Here is a 13,876-nt window from a genome sequence, read left to right on the forward strand (position 1 = left end):
AAAAAGATGGTACAAAATATTTAAAATACTTCACCTGTGTAGGGCACTTAACAAGAATGGAGCTTGCAGAACTGGAAGTTTCTCTGGGTGAGTGAATGAGTGAGTGGTGAGTGAACGTGAGGGCATAAGACATTACTGTACACTAACATAGGCTTTATAAACACTGTACACGGCCTGGCACGGAGGCTCACACCTGTAATTCCAGCACTTTGGGAGGCCAAGGCGGGTGGATTACTTGAGGTCAGGAGTTCCAGGACCAGCCTGGCCAATATGGTGAAACCCCATCTCTACTAAAAAATACAAAAATTAGCCGGGCATAGTGGCAGGCACTTGTAATCCCAGCTACTTGGGAGGCTGAGACAGAAGAATTGCTTGAACCCGGGAGGCGGAGGTTGCAGTGAGCAGAGATCGCACCATTGCCCTCCAGCCTGGGTGACAAGAGTGAAACTCTGTCGCAAAAAAAAAAAAAAAAAAAAACAAAAACCACTGTACAACTGTACACTTAGGCTTCACTAAATTTATTTTTTAAATGTATTTCTTCAGTAATAAATTAAGGTTAGCTTACTGTGACTTTTTTACTTTATGAACTTTTTAATGTTTTAACTTTTTTTACTCTTTTGTAATAACACTTAGCTTAAACACATTGTTCAGCTGTATAAATTTTTTTACTCTTATATTTATATAAGAATTTTTTATTTTCTATTATTCTTTTCTTTATTCTTTTCTGTTTTTTAAATTGTTTGATTTACTTACTTTTGCATTTTTAAACTGTTTTGTTAAAAACTAAGAAACAAACACATACATTAGCCTAGGCCTGCCCAGTGTCAGGATAATCAATATATCAATATTACTGTCATCTCCCTCCACACCTTGTCCCAGTGGAAGGTCTTCAGGGGCAATAACATGCAAGGAGCTATCATCTCCTAGGATAGCAATACCTTCTTCTGGAATACCTCCGGAAGGACCTGCCTGAGGCTGTTTTATAGTTAACTTTTTGTTAATAAGTAGAAGTACACTCTAAAATAACAATAGTATAGTAAATACATAAACCAATAATATAGTTGTTTATTGTCATTATGGAGTATTATGTGCTGTACATAAGTGTTTGCTATACTTTTATACAACTGGCAGCACGGTAGGTTTATTTACACCAGTATCACCACAAACATGAGTAGTGTGTTGGGCTATGGCATTATGATGGCCATGACATCTCGAGGCAATAGGAAATTTTCAGCTTCCTTGCAATCTTATTGGACAACTTTTGTATAGCTCTGCTTGACCAAAATATTGTTCTATGGTGCATGACTGTACAGTCACATTTGGGGGTTAGGGCTTCAAAATACGAATTTGAGGGGGACACAGTTGAACCCGAAACACCACCTCAAGGAACTTATATCAAAGTATTTCTTCTTGTTTTGTTTTTCATTCACAGGACTCTCCCTGTGAAAAGTTATCTAAATTCCACTTTCTCCTTTCATTGTATTTCTGTGGATGTTTTTGAAGTGCTTACATTTTAGCACCTGAGACAGATATTCACGGACTCCCTCCTTAATCTAGTTAGGTTTCAACAAGCGTCATAGAGCATTTTAGAACCAAACTCAGGGTAGTTAATCCTAGAATAGTTTTATCTGAACATACCTATTCTTGGTGTCTTTTGTCTTGGAGCTATGAAGATTTTGAGAGCACATTTCCATTCCCCCTAGGCTTCTTAACCCTAATAGGCCACTTACTAATTCATATACATATTTCAGCCAGTCATTGAATTCCTTGACATTGCAGGTGAAATTTGTGCATATGTGTGCTTATGGATTTTTCTAGCAACAGAGATCAAACTTTTCTCTTTTTTAAAATTTTTATCTATTTATTTATTTATTTGAGACGGAGTCTCGCTCTGTCGCCCAGGCTGGAGTGCTGTGATGCTATCTCAGCTCACTGCAAGCTCCACCTCCCGGGTTCACGCCAGTCTCCTGCCTCAGCCTCCTGAGTAGCTGGGACTACAGGTGCCCGCCACCACGCTAGGCTAATTTTTTTGTATTTTTAGTAGAGACCAGGTTTCACTGTGTTAGCCAGGATGGTCTTGATCTCCTGACCTCGTGATCCGCCCGCCTCGGCCTCCCAAAGTCCTGGGATTACAGGCATGAGCCACTGGACCTGGCGCTCAAACTTGTCTTCAACTTCCCCCAGGGGCATGTGACTCCAGCAAGATTAAGACCCAGTGCTCTTCATCATTTATGACAAAGGAAAGCACTGATAGGAATGCTTTTCTGTAGTGCATTTGTTTTCTAACATAAAACGATCCCTTCATAAGGAGAGCATCATCTTATCTGTGACTTCGCAGAATGCAAACGTTTATATTTCTTATTTATTATAGGGCAACCTAGAATTTTAAAGTGACACTTTGTTTCTTTATTTTTACCTCTCTTTTTCACATTCTTCAATATTTTAGTAGCCAACTTATGTTTAGAAAAATTAAGGAATAATTTAATTTTTCAGGAATTCTGAATACGATTTATGGCAACTATTCATATACTCATAACTATTTTCACATGGGACTTTGAGCTTTTTGTTCAGTTTTTAAGCCAGACAAATAAATAATTAGCAAAGAATTGATAATTGAGCCAAAACTTTAGCAGTAACAAGGAAATGACAATAGTGTTAATCCTATAATGACAATGACTAAAAAAAAAAAAAAAAAGGTATTTTTTCATGGTAAACCTTTTAAAACTTTATTGTGGATATGGGATCTGTTACCGTTGCCTCTTTTTAAGTTCTCAATTTAAAACAATGAGCTAATTTTCATAAATAAAATTATTCGTGTAGTCTTTGTGGATATTCTGTCCATTTTGGCGCCCCTGGACCATGTTTGACATTGACTCAGTGTGTAAGTCCCTGAGATGCCCTCAGTTCTTCATCTGCAGTGGCTATTGATTCTTTTCTGCCTCCCTTCTGTTCAACCTCAAATGTAATACTACCCTGAATACACAAATCACAGGGCTCCGAGGACTCAGAGAGCTGTAGGTGAATTAGGACATTATGCAATCACGCAAACATAATTGTAGCATCAAAGGAAAACATTCTTCCCTCATCATGGGATTATAAATCCATGCCTAGACTCACCGTGCCTTTTGTAACTGAGATTAATCATTGGCAACTCAAAGCATTTTATTCTTGCAAGATATTCCCAGTATATATTCATAGCAATATCTAATAGCAAGAGAACATTTTTAAAAAGTAGTAATGAATGCTACATATTTGCAAGGATCATTTCGATCCTCAGATAGGCAAAATTGATTGCCTGATGCTTTGTCTCCATAACAATGTCCTTTTTTTCCCCTCAGGATGTTGAGAAGCAATCGAATAACCTGTGTGGGGAATGACAGTTTCATAGGACTCAGTTCTGTGCGTTTGCTTTCTTTGTATGATAATCAAATTACTACAGTTGCACCAGGGGCATTTGATACTCTCCATTCTTTATCTACTCTGTAAGTATGAAAAATAGCCCTTATGTATTACTTGAGCCATTTATTATATTTGTTAATGTATTTAATATATTATTAAGCATTTCATTAAAATGTGATCAAGGGTTTTAGGACTTAAAAAAGGACAAACTTGTTCACATCAAATTTATTTAAATTTTTTAAAAAATATTACCTACTATCTTAGATTAAATTTTAACAAAAAATTATAGTATTGTTCAGTGAATTATTTTTCATAGTGATATGATCAATAATGTAGCTTAATTCCAAATTTTAGAATTATTATAACTTGATAGTGCTGCATATAAAAGAAATGTTATAGATTTTTGCCAGTGTTCTCACATTGGAGTATTTTCAGTATAAGTATTATAAAAGGAGAATTGATAGAGTTATTGCCAACAAACTTGCTCAAAAGGATCAGCTGGGCACAGTGGCTCACGTCTGTAATTCCAGCACTTTGGGAGGTTGAGGCGGGCGGATTACTTGATCAAGGTCAGGCGTTCGAGACCAGCCTGGCCAACATGGCGAATCCCTGTGTTTACTAAAAATACAAAAAAAAATTAACCAGGCATGGTGACAGGTGCCTGTAGTCCCAGCTACTCGGGAGGGTGAGGCAGGAGAATTGCTTGAACTGGGGAGGCGGAGGTGGCAGTGATCCAAGATCGCATCACTGCACTCCAGCCTGTATGACAGAGCGAGACTCCATCTCAAGGAAAAAAAAAAAAAGAATCATTTGAAATGACAGTAGATATATTAGGATGACCAGATCAAAAATAAAAGCTGTTTACTAGAGGGGGTCTACTATGATATTAGCAAAATATTGAAGAAATAGGTTGAGCTGATCCAAGAGAATATTTTTTGTAGACAGCTTAAAAATAAAGAGTATTTGTAGGCCTATAGACAGAATTCAAGAAAAGTAAATAAATAAATAAATAAAATTTAAAAGTAAAAAAAGCCACACACCTCCAAACAATGTATTTCAGGTCTCTTATATGTCAGTATCTAAAAAGCAGCATTTGAAATTATTAATTATCTAACTGATAAGATTTCTCAGTAACGGTGGCATGCAAATCTACTAATCTAACTTAAAAGGAGGGGAATAAAGATAGAGAAAAAAGTTCATAGCTCAAGTCAGTGAAGAAATAATTTGAGAGAAGCATCCATCCATCAGGAAAGTACTTAATCCTCTTTTTGCATAAAATGTGACATTTTACATCGAGTGGCTAATTTGCACATATTAAAGATGGCATGTTTATAAATAATGAGATTGTCAATAGGTTTATGCTGAAGTGGTGAGATGCCAGAAGTATTGAAATTTGTAGAAGTAAATTCATTTTTATAACTGGCATTTAATCAACTCAGCTGTCAGTTTAGATGGGAAACCTATTCTCTAGAGCAAATAAGAGATGGAAATCTTGAGATGACAAATTAATGAATTAGCTGTTGTCAGGTTAAACTCAATAATATAAGGTAATCAGCCTTCATCTTTATATTAAATTACTGCATTATCAGTGCGAAGTTTGACAGCAAGTCAGATTTCTGACAAGTTTAAATTATTTCTAAATGAAATATCTATCAGGATCCACTGTATAAACCCCAAATTCTACCTTACCTTATTTTTTGCATGAAATCATGTGAAGAATTACCTTATGTAAAAGTGTTGTTACTGCTTAAGTTCCAAGCATAAATATTTTATCAAAAAAAAAATGCATCTCATATACTGCATGTGATTCTGAGTAAGAATGGGGACAGGGAATGCAAAGAAGAAGGAATCATTCCAGCGGAAATAGCGTGGAGAAGGGTAGCTGGGGTTTAGAGAAGGAAGAAGATGAAACCCCAGGCTAAACTGTGCATCGTTTGCCTGTGGCTCTTAGAAACCTCTTGGCCAATCCTTTTAACTGTAACTGCTACCTGGCTTGGTTGGGAGAGTGGCTGAGAAAGAAGAGAATTGTCACGGGAAATCCTAGATGTCAAAAACCATACTTCCTGAAAGAAATACCCATCCAGGATGTGGCCATTCAGGACTTCACTTGTGATGACGGTAAGAAATACTTATCAACTCTTTGATTGTCAGGCATTCACATGCCTGTTCTGATGCAGCTTTGCACAAATCTACAGCATAGTTCAGCTCAGCAAATAATGATCGTGTATCTTTTGCTTTGTCGTTTGGGTTTTGTTTTAGTGCCAGGACACTTACTTTCTTAGACTTGCCTTCCACATTTGAGTCTACTTGATGTGCATTTCTGAATGTTTTAGATTTTCTAGTTTCCAACTTGTGGTTGGTCTTACTTATATAGCTTCATTTTAACTTTTCTTTATTACCCTAGGCATGTTTTTTAGTACCTACCATTTTCAAAGGAGAAAAGAAATTAACTTACAGAAGTTTTAGTAAATCTGACAAAAATACTAGTTGTCACTTTTTAATGCTCTTTCTATATCATCACATTTGATTCTCATATAGCCCTATCAGGTACATAGAACAAGTTCTATTATTATTGCCAATGAACAGAGAGCTAATTTGAGCTTTATAAATGAGGAACCTAAACTTTTAAGTTAATATATTCCCTTATGTCTCTTCATATCTGTTTCCGTGCCGTTTCTCTGTAATTCACTTTGCATTTACATATTGTAATTAAAAATATAATTTGTACAAATAACTATTTTCCATTGTATTGGTAATTGTAATTACAGTTTACAAATTGCAAGCCATTTTCCAGAATTCTTCCCTAGGCAGTCTGAAAACAGTGCTATATAGAACTTACGGTATCAATTAGTAAATACTGAATGTCCCGCAAATAAATGATTATGTAGCTTAAGACTCTTGTGTTTGTTAAGTTAATTTAAAGGCATAAAATCCCTTCTAGCACCTTCAAGACCACAAATCTTGGTTTTCCTGTATTTCCTCTGCGATTTAGGAAATGATGACAATAGTTGCTCCCCACTTTCTCGCTGTCCTACTGAATGTACTTGCTTGGATACAGTCGTCCGATGTAGCAACAAGGGTTTGAAGGTCTTGCCGAAAGGTATTCCAAGAGATGTCACAGAGTTGTAAGTAGAGCTTGTCTTTCTTTTCTTTTCTTTTTCCTTGATGATAAATGTTTCATACACCCAGAGGAATGGACAAAAATCTTTACAATCTTCTTTACAAATCATATTCTAAGGCCAGTTAATTATTATCCTGTAAAATGGTAAATAAGTAATGCAAAAGCTACTTTAGAGGCCCTTGGGAATTGCTGTGTGTGTGTGTGTGTGTGTGTGTGTGTGTGTGTGTGTGTGTGTGTGTGCGCTATAAGATTTCTCAGTGCCTTTACTATGCTAAAGTGTACTATGACTCTTCAAGAAACAATGGTAAAATATAAGGTATCTTTCACATTTATTTGTTCCTATACCCCTTTTCTCATGGAGCATCTTACAAGACTAATGGCCCATGGAATGCACTTTGGGAAATGCTTTATATTTCATTTACTTACAGTCTAGGATATTCTGTACAGGAAACTTTTTTTTTTACCTCTGTGACCCCTAGGAGAAAATTTTACCACATGGGATAAATAACTATCTGGTATATGGAAGAAACTAGCATAATCTCTTCCCTTAAGAAGAGATGCTGCTTTTGGAGGCTTGAATCAAAGTCCTTTAGATCCTAAAGGGTATGGGACCAATTATCCTTGACATTTTCATAACTGATATTTAACCACAAATTATATGGCCAGGATATACACATCTCGACCTTCTTCTGCACTGCCCACGCTCCCTTGGCTGCCTCATGCTACAGTTGCAGAATGGAATTCATTAGAGAATATGCTGCCAGAATAATGATGCTTCCATGCCCCATTCATTCCATTCCTTTGTCTCTAAACTGTCATATTCTGGATATGCTTGTTCTGAATACAATTGAGTCACTTTGCCTGTTTATTTTTTATCTATGTGGAACTATGGATCAATAATGATTTAAACCCAAATGTAATTTATGCAGATGTGTATCAGTTATTTGTGCAGATGCACACACATATTCCAAATGAGCAGGTTTGACAAACTTTTGACAGTGTGCAACATAGGTAATGAGGTTCAAGGGCATGTCATTTCAATTTTTAAGGATCTTATTTTCAAATCACATGCAATTCTTTAAACCCTAAGTTTGATCCTGAATAGAACACTTAGAGGAAAAAGGCACAAACTTAGCACATGTGCTTAGAACACGGCTCTTAGATTTGAACTGCTGTTAAGTGCTTAGGTCCTCTCTCACTACCAATCACATTGGTTAATCAACTGGAAGGACTATTTTATATGTATATGTGTGTAATTAAATATTTAATTCTTATAGTAATGTTTTTTATTTCAGAAGATCACATAGGGATATTCCGAAACCCTCCTCTGTGGGAAAGCTAGATGCCTATAGAATATTCTGTGTCCACAGGATGGGGAACATCACACACCGGGGCCTGTCTTGGTGTGGGGGGATGGGGGAGGGATAGCATTAGGAGAAATACCTAATGTAAATGGCAAGTTAGTGGGTGCAGCAAACCAGCATGGCACATGTATACATACGTAACAAACCTGCATGTTGTGCACATGTACCCTAGAATTTAAAGTATAGTAAAAAAATAAAATATAAAGCAGAGATAGTTAAAATAAAAAATAAAAAAAGAATATTCTGTGTCCAAAGCATTAATTTTAGGAGTACACCAATGAAGAACTTACACTCAGACCACCTTTGATGCTAAATCCCTTCTTCTACAATTTTAACTGGACTATGTATTGGTCACTTTACTCTATTCCCATTAAATAACTTTAAACATTTCTTACTAAGCTCCATTGGACATCCTGCTTGGTGCATACCCTGTGCTATCTACAGCATATTTCAACTATTCAAAAAGTTGAATTTTCAATCTATTTTACTACAAATTATTAAAAAGTAGTCTTTTTTTCCAAAGAAAGTTTGTCATAGAGATGAGAAAAATATTAGCTTATCTGTTTTGAATTCAAGTTTTACCCCCTGGAGAGCTTATTCTTGTAACCTTACCAAGTCAGCAGAATCCTTCTTAGCAGTAACATATATGCATGTATTAGAAGAATTTCATATGTGTATTACATTAAATAATTAAAGACTTTGGCAAAAATTAGTATTATTGGTGGACTAGTTTTAACAAATGGTATCCATTATTTTTAATCAGTTCCATATAACTTCCGCCTTAGATTATTTTACATATAAACATTCATAGCGCACATTCTGAATCTTGACCTTCTGCTGTGTTTTCTGGAATAAAGGGAGAGTGCTGAACTATATAGGGTGATGCTTCCCTCTAGTGGTATCAAGAAAAACTTAGGTAGAGGAAAGAAAAAAATGGAGAGGGGTCGAAGAAGAAATATCAAGTCAGAAAATTTAGGTAGACATGATGAGTCATAACATAGACCCAATTATTTATCAAACATTAATTATATTTTCTGATAACTGGTGCCTTTTATATCATTGTTTTTATTTTGAAATATTGGGAATAAATTATCATCTTAGACAACTTCTCAGCTATTTCTATATCCAGAAAAAATACCAACTTCAACCTGGAATCTTGAAATGGACCACAACATTGGGGTAGGAACGGCCACATGTTTAATGTCCCAGAAGTGTCTGTGGGCACATGTATAGCCAGATGGCCCCAGTTTCTGAATGACATTTGCACCCTTCACCATCTACGTTCTAGGAAAAACAGCCTTGGAAGGAGATGAAATTTATTTTCCTTATTGTGACATAATAGATATAACTTCAGGCATTCGATTATCTCTCTGTCCTGCCAGTTAGCCCAAAACCTATTTTCTGATTATTCTTCTGACTCTAATAAGAAGGGAAAGTTTACTTATATATGGTTATTTGATTATTGCTGTTACATATATATATATATATATATTTATACACTTCATCAATTTATATTCTATAAAATCTCCTAATGTTATCATCACCAAGAAGATATATGCTGGTTACAACTATTTTTAAACTTAAACCTAATATGTTCAAATCCGCAAATATGCCTTTAATGTGTCCATTGTTATTCACTAAGTGTATTGACACATATTAAGGCAGCAATGAGTGGTCTTGGCCACAGCAGCAAGGTTTTGTTACTAGTTAATGAATTTCATGGTATTGTGTCCACATAAACACAAGCAAACTGAAGGCTGACTAAAAGTACGGTTAATTGAATGAATCTCCTTGCTTGCACACAGATGGCTAAATGCTGGGCTTGCCTTGTTAGATAAACCACAAAGAACTGGACTCGTGGACAACTCTGCTTTTTTTTTTTCTTTACTTCTCTTAAATAATAATCCATGCTTGGAACACGACATCTTAAAGCAAAAATTGCCAAGGGGTTCCTTGCCTCAGTTAAGAGTGAAGTACTGTTTACTTATTTTATTCAAGGCCACCATTACTTTGTAAGAAGATAATATTGTTCCATTGTTTTTAGGTATCTGGATGGAAACCAATTTACACTGGTTCCCAAGGAACTCTCCAACTACAAACATTTAACACTTATGTGAGTAACATATTGCACTTTTCTTTGACTTACTCTATTTCCAGAAAATGGGGATGGCAAGGGACAGAAGATTTAGTGAACCTTCCAGATAATACAAATCATTCACAGTTAGATGCTTCCCTCCTTGCTCATTGCGGTTCTGGACCCCTGGCTACATCTTCATTGAATATCGATCAGGCGATGGAGTGTCTTAGCAAGAGGTCCTCCTCTATTCAAAAAAGCACAAATACAACGAAGTCTGAGTAGTCAGAGAATTATGAAAATGTATAAACCTGCAGATTTTTATTGATAATGAATATGGGTTATTTTATGACAAACTAAGGAAGGAAAGATAGAAAACGATGCCTTTATTCTTGACTTTAAGCGAAAGATGGTAGGTGGTAATGACTTTCCCAAAAATGTAAATGTAGTTTATTATGTTTGTTTCTTATACAAAGCATTGTTAAATAAGTTATGGGTTTCCAGTATTAAAATGTATTTTAGAAAATCCATATATATTCATGTAGTGTTTAAGTAAACTTGACAAAGATACTAACATTTTGAGTATAAATTTCAAAATTTTGATTTTTTAGCTTAAAATAACATCTCTTTTTTTATTAATGTAAACAACCTTTGACAACCCTTAAGTTGTAAATACAAGAAGATATTTAAATATACAAACATTTGATCTAGTTACATGCACAATGTTTAAAAATTGATATAATCTTTTACATATAATACTATACTTTTAAAGTAGCCTTATTGGTAATTGAGAAAACTTTTCAGAACACAAAAAATCAGGAAAAAGATAGTAGATATTAATAGAAAGTACCGTATCATTTGTTTAAGTCTATCTAATTTTAGAGTAAATATTACTAGCGTAAGAAGCAGATTACTGGTTAACGAATTAGAAGGTTTATTTCTAAGTGAATTCTACAAACCTAAGTAGCAAAAAATATTACATGCCCCAATGTAAACTAGGTACATTGAAGCTAGTTAAAATTGCTGCTGATCACTTTCCTTGAAAGTATGGGTAAATCAAACACTTTATAGAAAGTAAATAGGAGTATTTAAATGACAAATGATTAAACAATGGAAAAAGATATCCTCTAAGATGTCTTGTTCTGCTTCTAGTTATTTATTTGATAGCAGCAAGAACTGATTACATACATTTTGTTCTGTTAAATAAACCATTAAATTGCTGCAATTTCCAAAGGGTCACTTTAGCAGAATTGGGTCATTTGTGGGACAGCATGTGATTACTTTCAAGCCAGCTCGAAATGACAAATGAGGATTTGTGGATCCAAAAATGGTTTTACTAGTGACTCATGATACAACTCTAGGCAAGTTACTTCTGCTAATACAGATACTTTTATTTTTAAAATTTAGGAATAGTTCTTCAGCAGTTAAAAATATGAGTATAAAGCTCCTCTCAGATTCTTAACATTTTCACAATTTCATGGGTCCATTTTACTGACATTTTGATATTTTAATAAAGGAATAGATTATCCTCGGTTTTTCTGAATCTTCCATTTATTCATATATTTTGCATTTTGCTTCAGAAAAAAATTAGTGAATATATTTAGTTATTATAAATGGTGAATATATATTAGTATTACATATTGTATATATATTTTAATATATTTTTTACATATATAGTGTGTGTATATATACACTATATATATAATGAGAATAAGATCAAGTTCATGAAATGTAAATTACGACCCATAGTACAAACTATACATATAAGTAGCCATTTAACATTGGTAAAAATTCAACGTCTCTCCCATTTACTTAACATTCATTAAACAAATATTTATTGAGGACCTACTGTGTGACCATGACTCAGCCAGGGGCAGGAGCACAGACGTTTTTATTGATGACATTTTGAATGTAATTAATCAGGGGTTCTTTCAGTGATCAAATTTGAGTCTGTGTATCAGTGAACATATGTATCAATGAGGGTAAAGTATGTGTATCTGATAGGACTTTTGAAGATAAGGGTTTATTTCCCACCGGCAAAATTTTGTCTATCGCAAGTCACCTCCAAGGAAGCTCCCTGTAAAATATCAAAAGCCTTATGGAGATGGGCGCAGAGGGATAAGGGCAAATAAACTCTGCTCTGAAGCTGCTGCTTTGAAGTGAACCAACCCCTTGCACGTACACTACATTGGCTAAAGCAATGCATATATATATAATCACTCCTAATTTCAAAACAGTGAGGTGTAAATAATCATGAATAACATTGCAATCTACTCCAGTGGGTCGTTCACTGTTTTATTGTTTTCAGATAACAGCTGAATGCTAACAATACTGCTATGACTATAAGAAGACCCTTCTCCTTCTAAGAATCACTAATATTTTCATTTCTGTGGTTAATAGTGTACTCCATTTCTTTTTCTCTTTTAGAGACTTAAGTAACAACAGAATAAGCACGCTTTCTAATCAGAGCTTCAGCAACATGACCCAGCTCCTCACCTTGTGAGTGTGAAAGTGTGGTACTGAGTATTCATTAATTCAATGGACAAAAGGCAGTCTCTAGATGCTGGACATTGCTATTGAACAAGACAGTCTCTACCCTCAAGGAATGTTTCTATTGGGAGAAACAGACAAAACCACGATACGTGAACAATGTAGACATTAGGAAAAGTATTGCGTTCTATTAAAAAAAACAAAGAATAATTTGTGTTTGTGGGGGGCTTAGGGGAGATCCCTAAGATAGGGAAAATCCACCTTAGGGAAGGGACGGCTGACGCACCAAAGTTGGGCAGGAGTAGGCAGCGGGAAGCATTCTAGGTTGTATTTAGGAAATAAGTATGTTGTGTTAGGGAGACAACACACAAAAAATAACAATATATTGTGTGTTAACACTATCAGTTAATAAGATGCTTTAATAAGCCTTAACTGCTTTATTTTTGGAAGTATTTGGCCATTTTTGGATTTCTGAATAAAACAAATTGACATATGTATGCTTTCAGAATTCTTAGTTACAACCGTCTGAGATGTATTCCTCCTCGCACCTTTGATGGATTAAAGTCTCTTCGATTACTGTAAGCATCTTGTGTTCAACAGAATATCTCTTTTCTCAGAGATCTGAGTTTGGGGTTGTCTTTTTAAGGATGTAACTGCTTTGTTGATTCTTGGTGCTTGAAGATACATGCATTAGGATTTATTATAAATTAGGAAATAGAAAAATCATTTCTTACAGTATCATTGTCCAACAGCTTTGCTTTGGACAATATAACTTCCTTTTTAGTAATACTGATTGTTGTTATAGTCATTTATTTGATTATATGTAACATTAAGACATATGGTTTATAGAGTTTCAATTAACTTTGAAAGAAACTTTCAAAATTGAGAAACTTTCAAAATTAATTTCTTTAGAAATTACATAGTATATGAAAACATTTTTACTGTGAAATGTCCTTTAAAATATGTGAAATAAAACATGATCCTTGATCCTACTCTCCTGCCTCAGAATTTACAGTTTGATGTGCTCTCTGGTCCTTTTTCAGATGCATTTTTTTCTATTCTAATAGATGTAGGCCCATGGCTATATAGCTTTTAAAAGCCACAGATATTAATAGGATCTGTTTTTGTTCTGCCATTGTCTATTTTTGTTTAACATATGCTTTTGAATATTTCAAGTCTATCATATATATGAATAAAAATATATATATAAGAATGGAATAGATATATATTTATACATATATATAACTCAACTGTTTAACTGGTAGAGACTGTTGTATTGGTGGGAGGAACCAGAACTGATTCAATCATCTTCATCTTTACTGTGATTTGGTTTAATTTCAAATTTTAATGAGTACTATACAGTACTCTAATGAACATCCTATACATTCCTCTTGGTGCAAATGTGCTGGCATTTCAGCAAGAATTTAG

The 13,876-nt window shown here is 34.7% G+C and overlaps 1 protein-coding gene across 8 annotated transcripts in view; it reads left to right on the forward strand.

Moving 5' to 3' along the window:
• Positions 1-13,876, forward strand: part of SLIT2 (slit guidance ligand 2) — a 368,657-nt gene that overhangs the window by 284,198 nt on the left and 70,583 nt on the right. For 7 of the 8 annotated variants that reach the window (XM_005248211.3, NM_001289135.3, NM_004787.4 and 4 more), the window contains 6 exons: positions 3,339-3,482; positions 5,351-5,517; positions 6,392-6,524; positions 9,929-9,997; positions 12,386-12,457; positions 12,955-13,026. In XM_005248211.3, coding sequence (XP_005248268.1) covers positions 3,339-3,482; positions 5,351-5,517; positions 6,392-6,524; positions 9,929-9,997; positions 12,386-12,457; positions 12,955-13,026 — 657 coding nt within the window. The remainder of the gene's footprint in view (positions 1-3,338; positions 3,483-5,350; positions 5,518-6,391; positions 6,525-9,928; positions 9,998-12,385; positions 12,458-12,954; positions 13,027-13,876) is intronic. The other variant, XM_006713986.3, reaches the window with a different exon arrangement.

Source organism: Homo sapiens, chromosome 4, assembly GCF_000001405.40.
Source record: "Homo sapiens chromosome 4, GRCh38.p14 Primary Assembly".
In the NCBI taxonomy this organism is placed as follows: Eukaryota; Metazoa; Chordata; class Mammalia; order Primates; family Hominidae; genus Homo; species Homo sapiens.